Source organism: Homo sapiens, chromosome 3, assembly GCF_000001405.40.
Source record: "Homo sapiens chromosome 3, GRCh38.p14 Primary Assembly".
Classification (NCBI taxonomy): Eukaryota; Metazoa; Chordata; class Mammalia; order Primates; family Hominidae; genus Homo; species Homo sapiens.
In genome coordinates, this window is record NC_000003.12 from 31,740,431 (window position 1) to 31,767,338 (window position 26,908).

At 42.1% G+C, this 26,908-nt stretch overlaps 1 protein-coding gene across 16 annotated transcripts in view; it reads right to left on the bottom strand.

Moving 5' to 3' along the window:
* The window catches only part of OSBPL10 (oxysterol binding protein like 10), a 416,868-nt gene that overhangs the window by 79,606 nt on the left and 310,354 nt on the right, over positions 1–26,908 (bottom strand). For all 16 annotated transcript variants that reach the window (XM_047447390.1, XM_047447386.1, XM_047447391.1 and 13 more), the window contains one exon: positions 7,480–7,690. In XM_047447390.1, coding sequence (XP_047303346.1) covers positions 7,480–7,690 — 211 coding nt within the window. The remainder of the gene's footprint in view (positions 1–7,479; positions 7,691–26,908) is intronic.

A 26,908-nucleotide genomic window follows, 5' to 3' on the forward strand; every position in this document is an offset into this window, starting at 1 on the left:
ATCTAAGTATTATACTAATATTAAAATATTAATAACAATAGCCTACATAATAGCAAAAATTGGAAAGCAGAATAGAGGGGCAGAGGAAGTTAAAGTATGCCCTGTCTTCATCATTAAAGAAAAGATTCAAAAAGTATTGCATCATCCCTTTGAGGACTACCAAAAAAAATAGGTTAAAGAATGCTTATGAAGCTGGGTATGGTGGCATACACCTGCAGTCCCAGCTCTCAGGAGACTGAGGCAGGAGGATTGGTTGAGCCCAGAAGTTCAAGGCTAGACTGCACTATGATTGTGCCTGTGAAGAGCTACTGCACTCCAGCCTGGGCAACATAGTGAGACTCCGTATCTCAAAAAAAAGAAAAAAAGAAAGAAAGAAAGAAAAGAAAAGAATGGTTATGATAAACTTAATATGACCACTACTAGAATTTATATATATATGTCATATTTCTTCCCAAAATACTAAAGAAGGGTAAAAGAAATACAACTTGTATAGCAAAATAGAAAACATGAAAAGCAGTATGGAAATAAAAACAAAAATCATAAGGAGACTAAGAGAAAAACACCAGTTTTAAGGGCAAAGGTTTGACTGTGGAATTGTCTTAATCTATCCTTGGCCTTATTTTAAGCCTTGCTTAGAGTGTTGAGACCTACAAGGCCCCTGCAAGGTCTTTCCTCTTCCTGTAACAGTGAATTCATGCTTCCCAGGTTCAGTAAACATAAAATGGTTTTCCAAAATAGAATAAGATTGAAATTCACAAAAAGATTGAATTTTCACTTGAAACCATTTAAGACATATTCCCAGTGGAAAGCCAGCGCCTTGGTATCTAACTGTTTTCTTTTATTTTTATTTTTTGAGACGGAGTCTCGCTCTGTCACTAGGCTGGAGTGCAGTGGCACAATCTCGGCTCACTGCAACCTCCGCCTCCCAGGTTCAAGTGATTCTCCTGCCTCAGCCTCCCAAGTAGCTGGGACTACAGGCGCATGCCACCACACCCAGCTAATTTTTGTATTTTTAGTAGAGACAGAGTTCCACCATGTTGGCCTGGATGATCTTGATCTCTTGACCTCGTGATCCATCCACCTTGGCCTCCTGAAGTGCTGGGATTACAGGCGTGAGCCACTGTGCCCAGCCTCTAACTGCTTTCTTTAGGGAGAAGTTGGCACTCAAAAACTCTGTTTAGACAGTTGTAAAAAAATAAAAAATAAACACTTATCTGAAATATTCTACAATGCTAGTTTTTCCTTTTCTCCTGATATCCTATTGATATCCTATTGATATGGTTTGGCTCTGTATCCCCACCCAAATCTCATCTTGTACCTCCCATAATTCTCACATGTTGTGGGAGAGACCCAGTGGAGTATGACTGAATCATGCGGCAGGTCTATCCCACACTGTTTTCATGATGGTGAATGGGTCTCACGAGATCTGATGGTTTTAAAAACGGGAGTTTCTCTGCACAAGCTCTCTCTTCGCCTGCTGCCATCCACATAAGATGTGACTTGCTTCTCCTGGCCTTCTGCCATAATTGTGAGCCCTCCTCAGCCATGTGGAACTGTAAGTCCAATAAACCCCTTTCTTTTGTAAATTGCCCAGTCTTATGAAAACGAACTAATACACCTATTTACTGAAATATCACATTTCTGTCTTAGCTTTTAATCATAAAATAAGGAAAGGTGACTATAAGTGGGGCAAAGCTTCACCAAAAGCAGTAGGTGTCAGGAAAGAAAGTATAACAGACAAAGAAAGCAAAGGAAGTCCCTGAGTGGTAGAAAAGAGATGAAAAATACAAGTCTGAAGAGGTCTCCGGAAAAACGTAAAGTACCGCAAAAGGAAGAAGGCAAACAGCCAGAAGAGCCAAGGGTCCTTACAATAGTCTCACTTATTTGGCCCTTTTGGCCAAACCCCAAAATGGGAAGACCAATGCAACTGGCTTATTAACTGACACTCCCCGCAAATCTTTTAAGTGGATGAAGAGTTATTGCAAGGATGAGTTAAGGAAAGTATATTAAATTCTGCTCTGGTTCTTCTTCTCTCAAATCTATTCTCTTGATCTTTTGTCCCCATTTGTGTTCACGGGTACCTGTGTCATCTACTGCATTCTGCCAAGGTGCCATTGTCACTTGCTCTGGCAGCTATGACTCCAGTGTCCTTCCCCAAGCCTGTTTTACAGCATCTTGCTGTTAATGTGCAGCTCTTACCTGGCACTAGAATGAGCTTGTCTAGTTACAGGCATCTGCCCGAACTCAAACCATGTTACCTAGACTAAGACTTGCAAGCAAATAGCAAATCAACCAGAAGCATGGAGGGCAGAGTACTCTGTACCCTCGAATCACTTTCTAGGCCCAGTTCCCCTCCCACACTTGAAACCCACCTAAAGCCCAGGCTCCCAAAGAGCACAACCTTTTCCAGTTTTGAGCGTGGTTCTGCCTGCCTCTTCCCCATAGCACGGGGAAGGCACACATCTAGGCTGAAGAAAACAGATACCCAGTCCCCAGTCCAGCAACTGTTTGCCTCCATCAAGCTGCTGAAGTAGATTTAGGAGCCACCAGTAATGGTAAAAGAGCTGCATAATTTAAGTCTTGACCGAAAAGCTAAATTAGTTTTTTTTTTTTTTTTTTTTTTTTTTTTAGAGAGAGTCTTGCTCTGTCCCCCAGGCTGGAACGCAGTGGTGCGATCTCAGCTCACTGCAACCTCCACCTCCAGGGTTCAAGCGAATCTCCTGCCTCAGCCTCCTGAGTAGCTGAGATTACAGGTGCCCGCCACGACGCCCAGATAATTTTTGTATCTTTAGTAGAGATGTGATTTCATCATGTTGGTAAGGCTGGTCAAACTCCTGTCCTCAAGTGATCCACCCGGCCCGGCCTCCCAAAGTGCTGAGATTACAGGTGTGAGCCACCATACCCGGCCAAATTACTTTCTTAATTTTAATTACATACCTCTCCATAAATGGAAGTTAAGTAAAGTACTTCAGACCCAGTATATCTTGGAGATAATAACATCAGAAACAGGTCTGGGAGCCCAAATGTATAGATGGGAGGCAGATGAATACTGAAGTATTCTCAGATTTCAGTCTGGCTGCTCAATGTGTTTGAAACAAAAACAGCGTAATGAGCAACATTTGGAGACAAAGGCTCCAAAGCAAACATATATCCCAGAAGACACAATTAAATACTATACAAGATGAAATACACAAGATCATAAATCATTTTTTATTCAGAAAAGGGACAGAAGGAAAAAAAAACAGTGCAAGGATCAGAAGGCAAAGAGCCATCAGGCAGGAACAATCTGTATGGGTATTTGGTAATGCTTCAGGTAAGACGGGCCTTCCTGCCCATCGAACACTGAAATGAAACCATGCCAGAGTTTCACTTTAATGAGATTTTGATTTCCATCAGCCCAACCTGGCACTTCTTAGACATAACCATTATATTTTTATCAATGTGTGTCAGGCAGCTGCTATAGCAACTATCAACCCTGAGAGCCCCAAGTGTCTAAACAAACACATTTTGTGGCAGCACTCCCAGGGCCAACGTATTCTCTATTCTCTTATCCCACCAGCTTGAGATTCTGGAATTCTATTTTAACTGCAGCCAACTATGATGCTTTTCCTGCAAGAAGTAACTCTGCTTTCCCCCAGTGGGTAGCATAGATTTAAGACACACAGTAGGTTGTTTTAAAACTTCAGGGGCTGTGTTACATGGAATATGACATGTAAAAAGGGTAAGATGACAAGGAAACAAAGTAGTGATCGTGATGCTTCATGCTCTATTCTCCAACTTTCAGCTAAGTTTCTTGATGAAAACAGTCCAAAAGAAGGAGAGTGAGCTAGCCAGGTGCGGTGGCTCACGCCTATAATCCCAGCACTTTGGGAGGCCAAGGCGGATGGATCACCTGAGGTCAGGAGTTTGAGACCAGCCTGGGCAACATGGAGAAATCCGGTCCTTACTAAAAATACAAAAATTAGCCAGGCATGGTGGGCACCTGTAATCCCAGCTACTCGGGAGGCTGAGGCAGGTGAATTGCCTGAACCTGGGAAGCGGAGGTTGCAGTGAGCCGAGATCGCGTCACTGCACTCCACCCTGGGTGATAGAGCGAGACTCCGTCTCAAAAAAAAAAAAAAGGAAAGAAAGAAAGAAAAGAAGGAGAGTGGGCAAGTGACAGTCAAAGGTGGGAGAGAGAGCACAGGGAGGACATGAAGGAGGTAGCACCTGATGTGACATAATTTTAGGGACACTTCTTGGTCTCCCCTTTTCCCAATAATTTCCATTTCAACCCGTCACCACCTCTGAAATGCATCCATTTGAGCTTTGTTCCCCTGGGCCCTTAAAAATGCCAGAGAGCCAATGAAAATTAGGAAAAAAAAAAACAACGAATTTTCTAGGAAGCCCTGAAGAAATATTTTTTTCAAGAGGGATTAATTTTAGGAATAAGAAAATGATTCAAGCTTATATTTACTAGTGAGATTCTCGGAACGAGCCTATTACATTGCAGAAGCTGCAAGTTACAATATAGGGCAAAAGAGACCACAGAAACTCTGAAAAGTCTCCAGTCTCACTCCGAATTTGTGCCCAGTCCTCAGCGAGGGTCACTGAGGCTCATTCCAGATCAGAAAATGTCAAAAGCCTCATTGAGCTTCCGCATTTGAGATTCATTCTTAAAGCTGAGAAGCAAGAGGAAAGGTAGAAAAGCAGGTTTGGGCGCCCTTGCTCCAGCGTGAATACACGCAAATCTCCTAGACTGGATTCTGCACCCAAATTGTTTTATTTTGCTACAATGGGATAACCAGCAAAGAGGACTATACTCGTTAATTTACTGATTTCGATCACTGTGCTGTCTTTAGAGGAGAGTGTCCTTTTTTCAAAAGAAATACACACTGAAGTATGTAATAGTGAAGGGACATCATGTCTGCAACTTACTCTTAAGTGGTTAGAAAATTATAATACATAAATATAAGGAAAAGGTGAAGCAAACATCATAACATGTTACTGTTTGGGGAATTTGAAGAAGGATATGTGAGCATTTTTCATACTATTCTTGCAACTTAAGTCTGAAATTATTTTTTAAAAACATGTATACATCTGCCTTGAGAGAATTATAATGCTCGCAAGACACGGTTCCTGGCCTCAGTTTGGGGGACTGAGCCCACTGAGTGGTTGTTCTAGATTGAACAAAGAACCCCAGGCCGGGAAGACGCCTGCCACAGTGGAAAGAGCCTGGTTCTGCCCTCGTTCTGCCACTTAGCTGGGTGGTCTTGGGCAAGTTGTTTAATTGTTTTGTGTCCCAGCATATCATCTGAACGATGGGCATAATCATACCTACTTTGTAAAGATTTCAGAAAACATGTAGCAAAGGCCAAGTTCAGTAAATGATGGTGGGTTTCACCAAAAGAAAACCAAATTACCCACACACAATCTACTCTGAAAAACCAACAGTCCCTTTCATGCTTCAGTGAAACAAAGGGCAAAGGGCAGTTGGGGAAAGCATGAAATATAAAGACTATCACTCATAATCTGGCTTTACTTCCTATCACCTAACTTGCCTCATTCCTTCATTAATTAAGTGACCCCTGGGCAACAAAGCACAATAAGGCTGCTGTTATTCTGTTAATTATACTTTATAATTATATGTGACATAACCAGTCTCAAGCTATTTTTACCTTTATCTTAATCTTCACAAATATCTTTATATCTGCTCATTGATTAAACCCTCCTCCAAAAGGACTGAGGCATCTCAAAGGAATGCATTATTATCCCTGGCTTCTTGATTAACAACTAGAAATACTCCTGGTGTGTATTCTAGAGGTATCCTCATGAGGGGACAGGCATGAGGATGTTTACTGCAGCGAGGTGAGTGGGGCACAGAGCTGGAGGCAATGTGCGTTGTCTGTCATCCGAGAGTCGCTGGGTATAATGTGGTGGCCTCAACACCACAGAAATAATGGACCAGATGCTGCATGCCAATGGATCTTAAAAACAGAATGCTGAGGCCTGTAATCCCAGCACTTTGGGAGGCTGAGGCGGGAGGATCACCTGAGGTTGGGAGTTCAAGACCAGCCTGAACAACGTGGAGAAACCCCATCTCTACTAAAAATATAAAATTAGTCGGGTGTGGTGGTGCATGCCTGTAATTCCAGCTACTCGAGAGGCTGAGGCAGGAGAATTGCTTGAACCCGGGAGGCAGAGGATGCAGTGAGCCAAGATTGCACCATTGCACTCCAGCCTGGGCAACAAGAGCAAAAACTCTGTCTCAAAAAAAAAAAAAAATCGTCATTCTCAGCAAACTATCGCAAGGATAAAAAACCAAACACCGCATGTTCTCACTCATAGGTGGGAATTGAACAATGAGAACACATGGACACAGGAAGGGGAACATCACACTCCGGGGACTGTTGTGGGGTGGGGGGGAGGGAGGAGGGATAGCATTAGGAGATATACCTAAGGCTAAATGACCAGTTCATGGGTGCAGCACACCAACATGGCACATGTATACATATGTAGCAAACCTGCACGTTGTGCACATGTACCCTCAAACTTAAAGCATAATAATAATAAAAAAAAGAAAAGATAGAATGGGGAGCTTTTGCCTTAAAATGTTCAAGCCAAAAATAAAAATAAGAAGTGGGGCCAGGCACAGTGGCTCACACCTGTAATCCCAGCATTCTGGGAGGCTGAGACAGGTGGATCACCTGAGGTCAGGAGTTCTGGACCAGCCTGACTAACATGGTGAAACCCCGTCTCTACTGAAAACATAAAATTTGGGCATGGTGGAGGGCGCTATTTGGGAGGCTGAGGCGGGAGAATCTCTTGAACCCAGGAGGCGGAGGCTGTAGTGAGCCGAGATTGTGCCACTGCACTCCAGCCTGGGCAACAGAATGAGACTTTGACTCAAAAAAAAAAAGTGGGAGAATTGGCAAAATGTTAAAAATTGCCAAAGCTCATTAATGGACCCATAGGGTTTCTTTACTATGTTCTCTGCTTTTATTTACATTTGAAAGGTTCCGTGTCCATTTTGTCATTTTAAGGTACCCACTGAATGGAATGAAATGAATCTTCAAATAAAAAAAAAAAAAAAAAAAAAAACACAGAATGCTGAGTGCAAACGTCATGAGTGGAATGAGACTTATAATGTGATGCCAGCAAGTCTGAAAGGTGTTCCATAGTATTTATGTAAATATGTTAGTTACATTTTTCATAAAATGTTACATTTTTAACTTCTAAAATAAAAATATATCCCAAACAGTAGAGGAAGGGCAGGAGAGATTAATGCAGAATTACATTTTTCATGAAATGTTACATTTGTAACTTGTAACATAAAAATATATCCCAAACAGTAGAGACGAAGGGCAGTAGAAATACTTGGATATAAGGATAGATGGATGGATCGTAGAGAAATGGATGGAATTAAAGGAGGAAGACAGTGGGACACAGACACAGTGTGTGTACTCATCCCAAACATGGACAAGCCCCCGGGGGTCTTACCCGAGGCTCCTGGCTTCTGGCTGGGCTGGCCCGCCTGGTGCACACTCTGCTGTAACAAGTTGAGGCACTCCCCAAGGCAGCTGAGGGTGGCAGCAGAGGTAGCTTTCAGGAGCAGCAGGTCCTGGTCCAAGGCAGTGAGGGGGCCGGACCCTGGCAGGGACTCAATGGCGTGCACAAGGTTCTTCTGCTGCCCTTCCACCTGGTTCATCATCTACAAAACAAGAAGACAGTAAGGAGGTGAGGGGCGGAAGTTCTTTCGACAGGCTGGGGAGGCGGCAGATAAACCACAGAAGTGGGTAAAACTAGGTGAGGGTCAACTCAGCGTGTTCGGTGCACATTCGTCTTTTGATAAATACTCAATCCTGGGTGAAATCTGTCAAGGCAAATTTAGCCAAAGGCACTCTAATCAAAAGAGAATTTGTCAACTTTCAAGCTAAAAGGGGCCATTAGGGCCATCTGGGTATATCATTTTACAGATCTTCTGGAGGTAAGTCAATAATAAATACATTGAAAGCAGTCCTTGCAACCACCTTTAGAGTCCTTCTTCTACGGAAGGTTATCTGAGACAGCAGGCGCACTGTGTGGCTTTCCCTCCTTGCTTTTCCTCCAGCTCCAAACCTTAACTCTTTGCTAGTCCTGTTCAGAGTTCACGAATTGGAAGGGAAATCTGGGGCTGGTGTTTGTACAAAGGAGATTACAAAGAAACCAATGCTGAGCCCCCTTCGCTCGCTTGCAAAAAAAAAAAAAAAAATGCTAAACAGGACATGACCTTCTTAACACCAGGAGAGATGTCAGGAAGAGAAAAACCAGAAATTCTAGACCCAGCCCTACTCCATGGCTTAAGCTATGGCAAATAATCATATCTTGTGGCCTGGCTTCAATTCATAAGCTTATCATAACAACAAAGACAAACAGTAGTCTAATGATGTCTTTGAACTAACAAATCAAAAAGAAAAGAACACAAGATCTAGAAAAGGACTTTAATGGTTATCTTGTGAAGTTCATCCTCCTCATGTTTTATAACATCCCATTAAACAGGATGATGTACATAAAGTGCTTCGGCACCATGTCTAACAAATAATTAGCGAGTCTAAGAAGTGGAGGAGCTCAAGCAACCCGCCCAAGGTCACAAAGCCCACTGACATCAGAAGCAGGAGTAAATTCCTGTTCTCTGGTCCGCTGTTTTTTAATCTTCTCCACAAAAGCTGTTTTTATTTGAAGTAACATCTCCTACTTTGTCACTGTCATCCCTGGAGGATCCTTGTCACCATGATGTCACCAGTGGGAAGAAGCAGTAATTCTGTAAGGACTGCCAGACTTGGACACAAAGCTCGTTTCTTTTTTGCTCAGCCTTTTTTCTCTTTCCTTTTGAAACAAATACCTGCTATCGGCGATTACTTCAAAACGATGTTTTTAAAAAGATTATTGTTAATAGACACATTCCACAGATGTGGTTTGAGCGTTCTCATCTTAGTGTACACATCCATAATCTGGCCATGCAAATTGTTTTTTTGCAGATTACAGAGGATCTACCTAGCCATTCTGGCTCCTAAAACAGTGCCTAGAAATAAGGAGAGCTCAATAAGTACTCATTTCTTCTCCAGGTCTTTGTTTAAAAGTCACCTTTTTAGCTGCTTGCAGTGGCTCATGCCTGTAATCCCAGCACTTAGGGAGGCGGGTGAAACACCTGAGGTCAGGAGCTCGAGACCAGCCTGGCCAACATGGTGAAACCCCATCTCTACTAAAAATACAAAACCTAGCCAGCTGTGGTGGTGGACGCCTGTAGTCCCAGCTACTCAGGAGGCTGAGGGAGGAGAATCGCTTGAATCCAGGAGGCAGAGGTTGCAGTGAGCTGAGATGGCACCACTGTGCTCCAGCCTGGGTGACAGAGTGAGACGCCATCTCAAAAATAAATACATAAAATAAAATAATAAAAGTCACCTTCTTGAGAAATCTTCCCAAACCACTTCATTTAAAATTGCACCTCCAGGCCGGGCATGGTGGCTCACGCCTGTAATCCCAACACTTTGGGAGGCTAAGGCGGGTGGATCACTTGAGGTCAGGAGTTCGAAACCAGCCTCGCCAATGTGGTGAAACCCCATCTCTACTAAAAAACACAAAAATAAGCCAGGTGTGATGGCGGGCACCTGTAATCCCAGCTACTCAAGAGGCTGAGGTAGGAGAATCGCTTTAACCCAGGAGGCAAAAGTTGCAGTAAGCTGAGATCGCGCCACTGCACTCCAGCCTGGGCGACAGAGCAAGACTCAGTCTCCAAAAAATAAAAAATAAAAATTGCACCTCCAGCCCAATCCCAGGCACACCTATCTTCCTTACCAACCTCATTATTCTCCACAGCATTTACCTCCTTCCAAACTAACTTGTAATTTCCTTATTATATTCATTTATGCTAGTGTGCAAGCAGGAATCATTATCTGTGTTGTCTGCTGATGTATCCCAAGTACTGTAAGTACCTACCTATTGAATGAATGAATCCAAGTTTCCCTCCTCTCACAGAAGTGCAAGAGAATCCATTTATGACACTCTACAGAATACTTGATGAACATAATATGGCTGAAGATTTAGTAACAGATAATACCTCCATTATCAGTTTGCCAAGAAGTACTGCCAACTAGTTAAATTTAACTTCAAACAAGATAAAACGTCTATGTATTCTCTGACATTTGTATGTATAAATGCTAACAGGGAGAAATGGATTTCGAGCTATTTGTAGTCAGCATTTCTGTAAATTCCTACCATAAAATCCTGTCTTAGAAAAATGCACTGAAAAGAAAGAAGAAATCATGATGAAACATGATGCATTATGTTTTTATTATTATGAATGATGCCATAATCTTAAGATTTTATTCACCTTAAGAGAAAAGGTGAATAAAATCAAGCCATAAACTATACGGTATATACTCATTTCTAATCAACAAAAAGAACTATATTCCAATTATACAGTATAGGATAATTATTATTTCATAAACAGAAGACATTATGAAAATCTTAGATAATAAAAACACGAAACCGGCTTAGAGAATATTCTTCTCTATTACAACAGATGCACGTGCTCAGAGATGAAATCCACATACTAGCTCTCTAAAAAAGCATTCAGGCCAGGCGTGGTGGTTCACGCCTGTAATCCCAGCACTTTGGGAGGCCAAGGAGGGCAGATCACTTGAGGCCAGGAGTTTGAGACCAGCCTGGCCAACATAACAAAACCACATCCCTACCAAAAAAAACAACAAAAACAAACAAACAACAACAACAAAACAACAACAAAAAACAAAGTTAGACAGGCATGGTGGTGCACCTGTGGTCCTAGCTACTCAGGAGGCTGAGATGGGAGGATCTCTTGAGCCCAGGGGGTGGGGCTGCAGTGATCTGTGACCACACCGCTACACTCCAGTCTGGGCGACAGAGTGAGACCTTGTCTCAAAATAAATAAATAAACAAACAAACAAACAAATAAAATAAAATAAAATAAAATAAAATAAAAATAAAAAGTATTCATCCGTATTTACTGAGAGCCGATTGCCAATAGCAACGGCAGGTAGCCTTTAAAGGCAGTGGGGTTTGGCAGTTACGATGGCTGGGGAAGAACTACGGCACTGAAAGCATAGAGCCCAGGAGTGCTAAATGTCTCTTGAATCAGGGCACAGTCCTGTACAACAAAGAACACTGCCGTTTAAAATGCTAACAGTGCCCCTTGAGTAACCCTTTGCTAGAGACACATCAGTAACCAGGCACCTCATGGCTTTTGACTTCTTTCTTGAGAAACTGAATGCTAAAAATAATACAAGCTTTACAGTGATTGGCACACAGTAGACACCTCCTAAAGATTCGTTTTCTTCTCATTTTCCATGAGATGTGAAACAGAACTCTAGTCTTTAATGACACAATCAATGCCAATCTTCACTTTACGTTAGCTTCATCAGAATCCAAAAGAAGTTGAATGAACCCTGAAAGAAATGTAGGATTTCTAGCCTTGGAGCTGTGCATCACAGTTATTACTGCTCCAACACTTGCTAAGACTGGGAGGCACTGATGAAGACTCTTCATCAGACTTCCGAAGAACAAGTTTTAGCTATGTCCATCTCTCTCTCATTTTAATTAAGGGCACATGTGAGAAGATAAATGTGGTACCGAAAGGCTGAATGCACCAAAAATATCAACAGCAAATTCTTAAAGAGGGTTCCTTCTCCCCTTCAAGGTGCCTACCAGCTTATCAACAAAGGAGCAAAGCCCAACCATCAACAAACAGACTCACCTAGATCTCCCAGCCTTTAAGAAAATGTTGAACCATTTACTTTAATTACGAAGTTTCAAATTATAACCCCAAATACTTCCTCCAAGGCACACCAACATTAATCATCCATGATTGTTTAAAAACAAACAAACAAAAAGCACAAATTTCATTTCTTTCTGGAATTTAGCTTCCACGATCAAGGCATCATGATGTTGTAACATGGGCACAAAAACAGAGCCCCAAATTAAATTTCAGAGATACAATCACCTGAAAATATCAACTCTGAGGTTGTAAAAGAGATGAAACGTAGGTCAAGTTGAACTTCACAGATAAGAAACTTGTCAGAGAGGGAATAAAAATTCTATGGCCTGTTTCTTGCACTATAAACAATAACACATGCGTTACAAAATCAAATCATAGGAGTTAATGTTAATAGCATCAGTGGCTGCAGAAGAAGAAAAAAACAAGTCAAAAAAGCTGAAACGAAGATGCAAAGATCAAAAACCAATGATATCTAGCTCAACAAGTTTAAATCTGGGTAAAGCAAGGGCTGCGGGAGACAGCAAGAAGATAAGGGCCTCATTTGTCTTGACTGCTTCGGATTTTTCTGAGCTGTAAACCCTGTGCAGTTTCAGAGGCACCTGCAAAGTCCAATCCTGATGGGTCAGGTGTCAACAAATTTGACAACTTCAGTCACTCCTCCATTACTCTCCAAAAGCTCAGCATGAAGCAGCTCCTAAACAAACATTCCTAATCCTAAAGGAACCAAAGCTGCTTGTCTTGTTGGCAGAGCCTCAACCGGTGCCCCAGTGCCTTCAATTACTCAATCTGTCTGGCTTGGAAGGAGACCATACAATTTGATGCCACATACAAGATGGCCTTGGTTTGGCATTTCTCTTCAGTCTGGTGGAATTCCTGAGTCCCTGCTAAGTTCCCCTCTGAGTCAGGGGATCAGTCCTTGGTTAACGTAGGCACTTTTTCACTTGGCCAATGTCCTCACCTAAGCTTTAAAGCTGTGCTTCAAGGATTTTTTTTTTTTTTTTTTTAGACAGAGTTTCAATCTTTATTGACCAGGCTGGAGTACAATAGCTTGACCTCAGCTCACCGCAACTTCCGCCTCGCCTCCTGGGTTTAAGTGATTCTCCTGATTCAGCCTAGCTGGGATTACAGGTATGCACCACCACGCCCGGCTAATTTTGTATGTTTAGTAGAGACAGGGTTTCTCCATGCTGGTCAGGCTGGTCTCGAACTCCTGACCTCAGGTGATCTGCCCGCCGCAGCCTCACAAAGTGCTGGGATTACAAGTGTTACCCACCATGCCCGGCCGCTTTATGGATCATTAAACCAAAACCACACACACACACAAACAGCTTACTGTCTGCCTTAACATGGCTGCTTTATTATCCTATTCCACTACTCTCAGGAGCAATACTTTAATTTTCCAGGGGACTCCATCCCAGAAATGGTTTGATGATTCATTACAGGAACTTCCCCAAATGTTCATCAACGCTTTAATAAAAACCATCAACACTCTGCCCTCTAAAAGTCTTTGAATGCCTTGCCTCAAAATCCTTGCCTTGTTGTTTTCACTAATTCTGAACTGTTAAATCTTGATTCTTAATCTTAATCCTAATCAAGTCTCCACATTGTATACCAAACTTCCAGTTCTTGATAAATTCTGACCTTGCCTTCCCCGCTTGGAGACAGAGCCAGTGCCCTGTGGAGGTGGTGTTCTTCCTCACAGTGGCAAACAATAAAGTCAGCCTTGTTTTATTAACAAATTGTAAGTTGATATGTGGAGAGCTGGCTTTCCAATCCACAACCCCCTTCTCCAAACATCTGAGTGTTGGGGCACAGTCAGTCCTGGTCTCACACCTGAACAATTTTGTCTTCTCTCAATGAGCTGCCGACTTTTTCTACCTGACATTCTACCTTCGCCCTTTAATTCCCAGCCTATGTCTCTTGTTCTACACCTCCTGGCACAACATACACCTAAAATGATAGCCCTCCAAGCGTTCCCTTTAGGCAAGGTCCTGAGCCCCTGGGGACACTGCTCCTCATACCCACAAACACAATCCTGTGTAGGCCAGTCCCAAACAGTTCGTGACTGCCAAGTATCTGTTAAGCCTGTTTTAGTGAGTGGAGAAAGAAAACCCCCAACTAGTGTACAGAACTTCCAAAAACACATTTCTCTCAGTAGGGCTAAGAGAGTGACGGTGGCAATAACGGACAAGATGAGCGGAAGGAAGAGGGATCCAGCTCCAGTGGAGAGAGGGTGCTGGCTAAACAGATGACAATGTTACAAAGAAAAAGAAGAAAGGAAAAGACACAGAAAGAGAAGGGAGAAACCAATATAAGAAATATCACACTGTATACTATAAACCAAAGGAAACAAACAAACAAACAAAAGGTAAACAGGCGGCAGGATCTCAAAAACAGTGACCACTAGGTCGTCAATGAGCTTACTGCAGGAGTCTGCAGACTTCTGTAAAGGGCCACATGGTAAACACTTTAGGTTTTGCAGACCGTATGTTCTCTGTGGCAACTACTCAACTCTGTCACTGTAGCTTGAAAGCAGCCAGAGGCAATGAATAAACAAATGGGCATGGCTGTTTTCCAGTGAAACTAATATTTTTATTCACTCTCAGTTTCGGTGTCAGATAAGATCTTTTCTCACTCATGTTGTGATTGTCCTGGTTCTTGATATGACTGATGATTTTCAACTCTACCCTAGATATTTTGGTTATTATGTTAGGGGACTCTGGGTCCCATTTGCTTTTTTTCTTTTTTAGGCTGGAAGTCTCATGTTTAAGTTTAGAACATAGGTCCTGGCCTGCTTGTATGGGCTGTGGTTCCAATGACAATCTCATTTCAGAGCCATTGTGGTACTATTTTGATTTGCTTGCTTCATCTCCTGCCTCTGGAGCCTCTACTGGTCCCTGTTAGTGTTACCAAAGGGGACAGAAAGAGCTTCCCCAGACCTCTGACTGGTGCCTCTAGTCGAAAGAATGGAGTTTCCAGCCTTCCAGGATGGGAGCAGGATTACCCTTGCTCATGCCCATAGCTGCACCTTGCCCCCAACTCTGGGTAGGAGGGGAGTCTCAGGCCCGAAGTCATTTTTTTATGCCTAACGGTATAATAGTCTGCTTTCCTTTCAAAGATGTGTAAGTGTAGACACCCTATTTCCACTTCCAAGTTGAAGACTGCTTCATAAGCAGATCTAACTGGCCGGTTGGAAGTTGTACTAATCTTTTTGGTAATAGAATCTATTCTCCCTTTCAGGAAATTGGCAGAAGAGATGCATTCATTATTTCTAGATATTTACCTGCTTTCTGGATTCATACTTACTTTGCTTTGGACTTCATGGTGTCATTATTGAGGCTGACCGTCACTAAGTGACTTAAGCCATGATCCCAGGTTTTTCTGTCCACCCTTGCCCCTGGAAGGCAGGACAGGCTAATGGCATTTTGAAGTTCAACAATTTGACACTTTATCATGTGAGATGAGAGGGATGGAACAAAAGAGTGGTTGAAAGGACAACCCAAAGACCCAGAACATCCAAAGCTTTTTCTGGTCCTTCCATGGTTTGAGTTGGTATCAAGAAATCTCCAGTGTTGTCTCTAAACCAGGCCATGCTGTTGAGGGCAAAAGGTAAATGCAAAATTCTGAATTGCACCTACACACTCAAAAGACACTTTCTGAAGATGGGGGGAGATAAGCCTTCTGCAGTTCCAAGAAACTGATTCCTTTCTGTCATTTCTTCACCTTTGGCTTTTCTACAATCATTGCCTTACCACTCCCAATAGTAACACCACACTGCACAAACATAAAATGCAAATTTTATCTTTACAAACTCCTTAGGAGGAAACCGTTACTGAGATCCTCAAGAAATGTGAGATCATAACACAACTTATCGTACGGGTCTGTCAAGTCTGCTTCTTGGCAGGCAGGAAACCTGAGTTCAGAGAAGCTGAATGACTCTGCCAAAGTCACAGCTTCACTTTCCTGGCAAGGCATAATTCACCATTAGTCCTCCGGCTCCACTTCAGCGCCCTTTACACTCTGACACATGCTCCTGTGGACTTCCTCGTATTTCTTTCATATATTCTAGAAGCAAAAAACTATCTCCTGCCTCAGAAAACAACAATGAGAAGGTTCCTTCCTTTCCACTGTCCCTCAGCCCACCCATTCTCACCATCTGGAAACCAGCTTTTTTGGTTTTGCTTTCCGATTACAAAAGGCTGGCTCATTCCATCAACAACCATCCCAACAGAATCAGACAGTAAAGACAGTTATAAAGAAGGAAGTAAAGTTACCTGTCATCCCACTTCCTGGAGATAAGTGCTGTTAACATTCTGGTATTATTCTGACTCTTTTAATTTATATCTACACACACAGAGGTATATTATTTTATCTTAAAAACATCACCCCTTATATATAATTGTATAACCTTTGATCACTTTAGAATGTATCATCTCTAACACTTGGGACATACTTCAAAATAACCCAATGGGGGTAAAAGAGCAAGGATGAAACAATATTGGCTTTGGGGGTAGCTAAAGCTGTTGATGGGGACATGGAAATTCAACATGATCTTCTCTAGTGTATTTACATTTGAAATTTTTCATAACAACGATGTCTTTTAAAATAGGGGGAAACCTCCTCTTGGCTTTCACATTTTAAATCTTAAATGTTACTATTGCAGGCCGCAGGCATGACAGGCAATGAGCAGGTGAAGAACCAATGGAAAAGTGTTCAGAAACTCCTGCGTTAGCTAACAGGCTTCTGAATGTATCACTGTAGTCCACAGAGAAGGCTGGAGGAGGTAGCAAGGAGATGCTGTAACAGCTGCTACAGCCTTAAAACAAAGTTGGTGTCTCTCTGGACTTTAAAATTGTTCCTATGCAGCTTATTTTTGTTTAACCAAATAAACATGAGGGTTTTTCCGTGAAAATTAAATAAAATAGGGGGAAAATATATTTTTATGATTGAAATGTATCCTTCACCAAATTCATATGCTGAAGTCCTAATTCCCAGTATCTTAGAATAGAACCCTATTTGGAGATTGGTTCTCTATAAAGGGAATCAAGATAAATAAGATCTTGAGGGTGGTCCCTAATCCGGTATGACTGGTGTTCTTATAAAAAGGGGAAATTTGGGCCAGGAATAGTGGCTCATACCTGTAAATTCCAGCACTTTGGGAGGCTGAGGCAGAAAGATCACTTGAGGCCAGGAGTTTAAGACCAGCAGTGAAGACATGGGGAGAAGATGATCATCTACAAGCCGACACATCCTTTTCTCATGGTGCTCAGAAGGCACCAACTCTACCAATGACTTGATTTTGGACTTCCAGCCTCCACAACTGTGAGACAATGAATTTCTGTTGTTTAACACACTTTGTCTGTGGTACTTTGTTAATGCAGTACTAGTAAACTAAGAAACACATCACAGACATCTTTCCACACCAATAAACATAGATCTCCTTTTAATGATTGCATGTATAAGAGCTTTTCCTCCAAACAAAGTAGGTCTTGGCTTTAGAACAAAAGTTCCTTCAAAGCAATCTCTATCAGTTTTTCTCATGTAATTTTTGCTAAAGGAAATAGTGAAGTGGAAGAAAGATTTTCAGAATTGTGTAACAGAATATGCTGTAGAAGACCAAAAATATACCACCCCAAAATATAATTATAGAAGACCAGAATATGCCTCCCTAAAATATGCCTCTTTGGCATAAGGATTATTTTGAGAAACTACAGACACCAGAACAGCTCTGAAAACAAAGAAGTTATCCTTTTGTAAGGGAAATTTACATTTATAAAGCAAGTCTCCATTCTCTGAACCAGGAAGATAATAAGGATGACTAAACTATAGAGCCTCATCAATGGAGAAGGCACAAACTTAAAAATCTGCATATCAAAACTTACTAATGTTTACAGTACTTTTCCTGGATACCTCCCCAAAATCTGCCTTCCCCTCACCCTTCTTAATCTCAGAGGAAGATGACATTTATGCCTGAAGCCTGTCACCTCTTTGAGAGTTACTCATTTCTCTGAGTACCTCTCATGTATACATGATATGTACATGTGCATGTATTAAATTTCAGTTTTTCTGTTGTTAATCTGTCTTTTGTTACAGAGGTCCATCCCAACTAAGAACTGAGAAATAAAAATAAAATTCTAGAACCCCCAACCAAGTAAACAGATACCACTGTTAGCCAAGGGGACCTCAGAGAAACCCTGAAAACAGAGTTCACAGCCATGACAGGATGGGAGGTCCAACTCCGTCTCTAACTGCTCTTAGGCTTTCTTCCCTAAGGGCTAAACAGAAACCAGCCCTTTCAAACAACTCCACCCCCATTTCAATCAAGCCCACTGACACTCCCCCATCCTTTTGTAGTTTCAACAAAGCAACTGACAGGTATTCCTGATAAGAGACCACTGACCACGAGAGTGGTTCTGGCCAGTCTATGGAGGATGTGCAGTGAGGGTCTTCGTGTCCTCTACTTCATCTTTTGATGTCAGAGGGCTGAAAACTCCACCCCTGGATCATGTTAATGCTGCATTTTTTTGAACATGGATCTCATGGAGCAGCATGAAGCTCAATTGCATGTGTACATATTTCTTTCATAAATATTCATGATTCCTCCTATAGCTTCTTGAATATGTATATTTGGCCACCTTGTTCAGTATAAATCCTGTCTTATTCTTCCCACCCTTGAAGTGCCTGTTTCTGGCTTCTGGCCAGAGACTATGCTTCCCAGCCTGTCAAAATGGTCACCCTACAGGCTGCGGCCGTTTGTGAGAAATAAAGCTCTCCTTTCCAAATTATGAACCTCATCATTGTTTAGTTGACAGAACTATGAAGAGTGAAGAAAAAAATATTTTTCCTCCCCTATGATTTCTACACAAAGGTTAAAAATTGTTAATTTAGAAATTCCATTTGTCAGAATTGAATAACATGTAAACATGTTGGTAACAAGGGGTGCAATATACAAAAGGAATAATCTTTTAAATTGTTTTCAAAGAAAATGCCACTGTCCAACAGAAGGATTCCGAGTAGAAGGCAAAGGATCAGTGAGTAAGTGCCTCATATGCTATAATTTATCTATACTCTCTGCCTCCCACACACACAGACACAGACCTGAACGGGATCCTGAATGCAGATCGAGTAGCACTTACCTCTCTGGACACAAGGTTGGCCTCCCTTGCACAACATCTGAAACTGGGGCTTCTAAGGGAGCTCCATTCTGCAGCAGGCTACTCTATGTTTTGTTTTAATTAAAAATCTCTTTTTAATACAAAAGAATACTCATCATAGAAAAAGAAATCAAATAGAAAGAAAAATACTCATAATATATCCAATACCAGAGAGAAGTTTTAAAATCCTGGCAAATGTACTTACAGAATTTTTATGTATATATATGGCCAACCCTTAAACAACTTGAGGGCAGAAGATCCCCATATAACTTTTGACTCCCTAAAAACTTATCTAATACACCACTGTTGACTGGAAGGCTTACCGATAACATTAGCAGTCGATTAGCACATATTAGCACTGTATTCTTACAACAAAGCAAGAGAAAAGAGATGTTATTTTGTTTTTTATTTACTTTTTTTTTTCCCCAAGAGTCTCACTCTGTCACCCAGGCTGGAGTGCAGTGGCACGATCTCGGCTTACTGCAACCTCTGCCTCCTGGGTTCAAGTAATTCTCGTGCCTCAGCCTCCTGAGTAGCTGGAATTACAGGCATACACCACAACACCTGGCTAATTTTTTTGTATTTTTAGTAGAGACAGGGTTTTGCCATGTTGGCCAGGCTGGTCTCGAACTCCTGACCTCAAGTGCGCTGCCCACCTTGACCTCGCAAAGTGCTGGGATTACAGGCGTGAGCCACCATGCCCGGCCAAGAGATGTTATTTTAAAAATCGCAAGGAAGAGAAAATATATTTACTATTCATTAAGTGGAAGTGAATCACCATGAAGGTCTTCGTCCTTTTCTTCACATTGAGTAGGCTGAGGAGGAGGAGAATAGGAGGGGTTGGTCTTGCTGTCTCAGGGTGGCAGAGACAGAAGAGTTGGAGGAGGTGAAAGGAGAGGCAGTCACACTCAGTTTAATTTGTATTGAGAAAATCCACATATCAGTGGGCCTGCACAGTTCAAACCTGCGCTGTTCAAGGGTCAATCGTACAGTCATCCCTCAGTACCCATGGGGGATTGGTTCCAGGACTCCGCCTGGATATCAAAATCCATGTATGCTCAAGCTCCCTACATAAAAAGATAATAATGTCTGCATATCCTCCCATATGCTTTAGATCATCTCTAAATTGCTTATGACACCTAATACAACGTAAATTCCATGTAAATAGTTATTATACTTTATTCTTCATGGGAAAGTGACAAGAAAAAGTTTGTACATGTTCAATATAGATGCAATCATCCATATTTTTTCCTGAATATTTTCAATCCTTAGTTGGTTGAATCTAGGGATGCAGAACCCACAGATACGGAGGGCTGACTGTATGCCCTTTTTCAACTTTTTATGAAAATGGCTACAGGCCATAATCATGTTTACAACCTTTTTAATTCAACATACCATGTCAATAAATTTCTACAATACTATTTAAAATACTGCAGAACATTTCATCACATAAATATGCCACAACTTATTGCCCAATTCCCTATGGCCGAACATTACGATGATGTTTAACTTTTTTCTCTATGACGGATTACGGTTCAACAAACTCTCTGTATCTAAATCTTAGCATAACTTTAAAAAGATTTTGTGAAAATAAACTTCTAGAAGAGGAACTGCTAAGTTTTTTTTTTTTATAAATACTGCCAGCTCACAACTAAAAAAAATTGTAACAATTTGTATTCTCAGTCGTGTGTGAGCTGTCCTCTGCCCTATCACTCTCCAACATCTTTCTTTCTTAAACAATTTCAGAGGCAAAAAAAATCCAAACCAGTATTTTATTGTTTTAATTCATTGTTCATGTCCCTGCATAATGCAGGGTAAAGAAAAGTTAAGAAGTTTCCGCCAGGCGCGGTGGCTCACACCTGTAATCCCAGCACTTTGGGAGGCCAAGGTAGGCAGATCATGAGGTCAGGAGTTCAAGGCCAGCCAGGCCAACATAGTGAAACCCAATCTCTACTGAAAATACAAAAATTAGCTGGATGTGGTGGCACACACCCGTAATCCCAGCTACTTGGGAAGCTGAGGCAGGAGAATTGCTTGAACCTGGGAGGTGGAGGTTGCAGTGAGCCAAGACCACACCATTGCACTCCAACCTGGGCAACAGAGTGAGACTCCATTTCAAAAAAAAAAAAAAAAAAGTTTCCATATCCAGTAAAGAAAATTTAAGGAAATAAGACTAAAGAGGCCTGGTATGGTGGCTCACGCCTGTAATCCCAGCACTTTGGGAGGCCGAAGTGGGCGGATCACTTGAGGTCAGGAGTTTGAGACCAGCCTGACCAACATAGTGAAATCCCATCTCTACTAAAAATACAAAAATTAGCTGGGCATGGTGGCACACAATTGACACCAGCTAATCCAGAGACTGAGGCAGGAGAATCACTTGAACCCAGGAGGTGGAGGTTGCAGTGAGCCAAGATTGTGCCACCGCACTCCAGCCTGGGCAACAGAGCAAGACTGTCTCTAAAAAAAAAAAAAAAAAACCCTAAAGGGAGTCAGAGAGTATTTTCCTTCATAAGGATGGAGAAGCCTTGTAAATGTCTGGCCATGGGCACCAGCACATGGGGGTGTGATGGTACTCAGCAATGAAAGGGAAAGCAAAGTCCTAAGCAAAGGGAGGGCAGTGCTATTGGAAGAACGAGGTGGACCCAGAAAGCAATAGGAGAAGTCAAAGTTCTCTCCTAAAAGATCCCAGGGACACGGAGAACAAGGGGAAACACTTCCCTCATAGTGCCAGAGAAAACAGGTCTACCTCAACCTTGAGGTCCAACTGCCTAGTTATGATGTCCCCAGAACCCACTAGAAGCCTCTTCCCACCTTCAACAAGCTTATCTAAAGCTCAAGGTCTGGTTTTAACCCAGCATTTAGCTCAAGGAAAAAAGCACAGAGTAGTCCTTTGCTGCTTCCCCCACATTTATCTTTCTCTTCTCACTCTTTTCAAAATACTTCCGTTATCAAAGCCATGTCAGTAACAGCCACTACACAAATGATAGAAACAGGGCCATTTCACAAGATGTGTGGCAGGGGCTGAGAAGCGCTGGGCTGCAGTTTATAACAGTGCTTTCACAGTCACAGTCTCTAATCCTCCCAGCTCTGTCTTGGCCACAAGCAAGGCTGGTTACTGTTTTTTTTGTTTTGTTTCGAGACAGGGTCTTGCTCTGTCACCCAGGCTGGAGTACAGTGGCATGATCACGGCTCACTGCAGCCTCACTCTCCCAGGCTGCCACCTCAGCCTCCTGAGTAGTTGGGACTACAGGCCTATGCACAACACCATGCCCAGCATTTTTTTTTTTTTTTTTTTGTAGAGATGGGGTTTCACCAAGTTGCCCAGGCTGGTGTCAAGCTCCTGAGCTCGAGGGATCTTCCTGCCTCAGCCTCCCAAAGTACTGGTATTACAGACATGAGCCACTGCACCCAGCTCCTGATTACCATTATTCTCATTTTACACAATCCTGGGGCTGAAAGAGTAAACCATTTGCCCAAATCATAATTTGCGGATGCGAGGTGTCAGGACTGAAGGATCCACATTTCTGTGCTCCTCACCTCATGACCAGGAAGCATGCAGAACCATTCTGTTCCTACAGATCACAGCACAAAGGCTCACATACACACTCTGATGCTCACCTAGCATGGCCTTCCCCCTAGAAGAAAGAAGACGCTTGGGAGCAAGCTGGCCTATCCACCCGCCAATTCATCCGGAACGGAATGAGAACACACACAGCAAACTCCTCTAGGGTAAAATTCACAGAAAAGAAAACACAATTTATAAGCAAAGACGTAATAAGAAAGGGTAAGGAATTGTTCTGCAAATGGTTTGAAAGTTTCATTCAAGTGTTTACATTTCTGTCAGTTCTCTAATCAGAAATCATTTAACACACATCATATAAAACAAAAAGAAACAAAACCTAAAATGCTGCTTTACTGACTCACTTCAGAAGTCTTCTGATTAATCTACTGTCATTTCTCAGCAAATACTGGATAGTAGATCAGTTTTTTTCTCTGGCAGAACGTAACCTTACAAACTAAGGGTCAACAAGCATGAAATTAAACCATTTTCTTCAGACTGCTTCACCTTTGTTCACTCATACTCCACACACATATCTCAAAGAACCTCTAAGTGTCCAGATATTTAATCTGGATTTTATGGAAATTCTTTTATTTTGCAAGGAGAATAGGATGTCTCTAAGAATTCCTGAAGAATATTCTAATATTCTAACTTGAGCTTGATAGCATATACAAACTGGGCCTTAGCTCTACCCAGTAAACACCTGCCATTCCCTTTTAAAACTTAATTGCTGTTTTTAGATCAAATAGCCACCCAAAGTAGCAGGCAAGAACATGACTACATACTTCTCTTTTCCACCTAGAATTAATTTCACTAGTGCCAATTATTTTCAGGAAAGAAATGCATCTCCAAATGGCACTTGAAAAAAGAAAAAAAACTGGGCAAAAATTTCACACCTCCAGGCAAATCCTTTACATCATTTGAGCTTTAGCAAATGAAACTCTGGAGAGACAAGTGCATTTATCAGGAATCTGCTTCATTAATCTGAAAGGGAAAATTATGTTAAGGAATAAGCCACCATTAATTAACGTTTATTGTATCCCCACTGGGTAAATGACACTGCAGTCACCATTTTACAGAAGAGAGAACACAATTCCTGCACACGAACTGCTTACAATGTAATCCTCAAGGCACACAAATATGACACAGAATAATGATATATAATACACAGTGCTTTGCAAAAGAGCTAACCGCCCTTTGCAGACACCTGCATTTAGAACTGCTTTCTACTCCTTCTCCACACTTCCTCACTGCTCTGAGCATGCACTTTTAAAAAGAGTACATGTAAGAGTATATAGTCCATGATCACTGTTCATATAAACACACAGAATGAACTCACTATAACGAATATAGTTCCACATATATCTCTCTCCACGGCCCAGCCTGCTGGTGGAATCAGTCAATTAATTCACTGCCAAACTCTTTCTGGGCAGGGCCCATAATGTCTTATTCAAAGGAGATGCCTGATGTATGTTTGTTGGGTGGATAAATGGAGGAGAGGGGACGGGAGAGAAGAAATGGGAAGACAGGGCAAGTGAAAGGAAGGGCGATTAAAGGGAGGCAAAACAGGGGAAGAAGAGAAGGGAAGAATAAAGAAAGAGGAACGAAGGAAGAAGGATCGAGTTCCAAAGCTTCTAGAAGTTTTAAGATGCCAGCACGGTTCTCTAGCAAATTTGAGAACTCCTTTTCATTGCCCCTAGTTTGTTGTTACTACTTTCACTCAAGGAATAAAAGATCTTGTCTCTTTTTAGCCTGGGACCTTGAAGCTTCAGGCTTAACCATCATTTCTCTCCAGTACCAATCTCCCAGCAAGGGTGGAGCATTTTAACTGCACATTATATATCTCTGGACACACAATCCCAAATTTCTTAGAGCCTCTAACTTAATCTATATGATCGTGGGATAAAGAAGGCATTATCTGAATGAGTTCCAGGCTCAACTTCCAGTGAAGTCCATGACATGTTTTTCTCCTAGTCAATTTTTATTCCTTCTTCGACCCCGGCTTACAGGTTGTTTTCACCAGATAGCCTTCCATCATCCTCCCAAAAGGCCATGATCCCCATCATCCATAAAACACATCATGGTTGTAATTAACTAACTACTTTTTTTCTTTTTTTTTCTGGAGACAGGGTCTTGCTCTGTCACCCAGGCTGGAGTGCAGCGGCGAGATCATGGCTCACTGCAACCTCTGCCTCCTGGCCTCAGATAGTCCTCCCACCTCAGTCTACCAAGTAGCTGGGATTACAGGCATGTGCCACCATGCCCAACTAATTTTTGTGTTTTGTTTTGTTTTTGTTTTTTTTTTGTAGAGACATGATTTCACCACGTTATCCAGGCTGGTCTAGAACCCCTGAGCAAGTGATCTGCCCACCTCAGCCTCCCAAAGTGCTAGGATTACAGCCATGAGTCACTGTGCCCAGCCTCTACTGATGTGTTATGTTACTAATTTGTTAATTTCTCTTGCCCTTACCAGGCTCTCGGTGCCACTTTGTCTCTTCTGTTCACTGTTGTTTCCCCAAACCTAGGACAAGATGTGGCAAACTGTGGGCAAAAAAATATCAGCTGAAAGCATGAGTGAGTGAGTGAATGAATGAATGAATGAATGAATATACAAAGGAGAGCACCCAGGCATCTCTTTGAGAGCTGGGAAGGGGCTGTTCTCCTCCCTTCGGACAGGTAAGAAGATTGGTCTCAATGCCACTATGAGATGGATCCATTTGAACAAAAACAATGTATACACCCAATCTAAGTGACAGCCAGTGGGACTTTAAAATTAGCAAGTGAAAAAGGAGGTACAATACCATTTCTGGGGATAAGTAGGACCAGGTTTGGGTTTTTTTTCTTGCTCTATCAAGACTGAGAAGTTCAGTAGTCAGGGGACAAGGTTTCATATTTTCCTTGTATACCTCCCAGGGTTTAGTTGATCATGGTCACAGAGAAAGTTTAGTAACAAAGAAGTGAAACCACCCACACTCATGCAAGGAGAAGGGGATTTGTTGCATGGATACAGGAAAGAGTGCCCAGAAACTACTTGAAAGAGCTACTCTTTCTTTCCTTCAGAGATATGGCCGTCTCTTATTTCTCTCTATCCCCTGGTCTCTATGGTCGCTGGTTTTCACACCTTTCTCTCCTCTTCTTGCTCAACTCAACTTCCTCCACTTGCAACAAAGCCCAGCAGAGCCGCTGGAGCCAAATCTACCCAATCCTCTAGTTTCTTCTCCTAATTCAGATGAGAGAAAGTGAGTTTACGTTATTGGCTCTGGGTCACATGCCTGCCTGAGCCCACTCAGCTGACACTGGAGATGTGGAAAACAGTGGCCATGTGACACACCATGTGGACACAGATCCCCCACTTCAACATAGGGTCTTCCCTCTGCCCACTGCTCTGTGATGTTTGGCCCAATGTAGTTTTTTTGTTTTTTTGTTTTTTTTTGTTTTTTTTTTGAGACACGGTCTCACTTCATCACCACCCAAGCTAGAGTGCAGTGGCACAATCATTGCTCATTGCAGACTCAACCTCCAGGACTCAGATGATCCTCTGAGCTCAGCTTCCCAAGTAGCTGGGAGTATAGGCTCACACCATGACACCCAGATAATTTTTATTTTGGTAGAGATGGGGTCTCATTATGTTGCCCAGGCTGGTCTTGAACTCCTAGCCTCAAGCAATCTTCCTCCTCAGCCCCTCAAATTGCTGGGATTACAGGTATGAGCCACTGTGCTGGCCCCAGTGTAGAATTCTGACATTCATGAGCTATAAGGATACATACTATTTACAAATACTTTTAAAACTCACTTCACAAGATTTGTAGGTCAACTGGAACATCAGTTAAGGCTTTTATCCAAGACAATTAATCAAATAATGGAGCATTTCTCTAAACTTAATGCTGGCATGACATGAATGCCAGGTTACAAAGCTTCCTGTCAGAGGGCCTGAAAGTGTACTAACTTCTTATAAATGCCTGTGATAAACACCCAGCTGTAACCAAGCCCAGAACACCCCACCTCCTCTTTCTTTCATTTGCAGTACAATCTCATAATGAAAAGCCAATAGAATCTGCCAGGTTATAGAGGAGATTAAAAAGAGATGAGGGCTCAATCCACAGTCCTCTCTAAGCTTAGCCTTTCCCTGGTGATTCCTAAGTCTAGAAAACAACCCAATTAGCTACGTTATACTACTTTTTCATATCAGGTCTGGAGGGCTATACTTTCATTAACTTTGTGGAAATTAAAATTACCACTGAGGAGCTCTGGATTTTGCTACAATATTAGCCAATTCTCTCTTTCAAGAGCCCTCTTGTGTTTTGCTCATGCAGTTGTGATTAAAACAGTTCCCTCTGTTCATGGGAATAAGTTCTTCTCCCACGACCATCACTAAGCCAGTGAGAAAAAAACTCAACTGTGGTCCCTGCAATAACCACTTGGAAA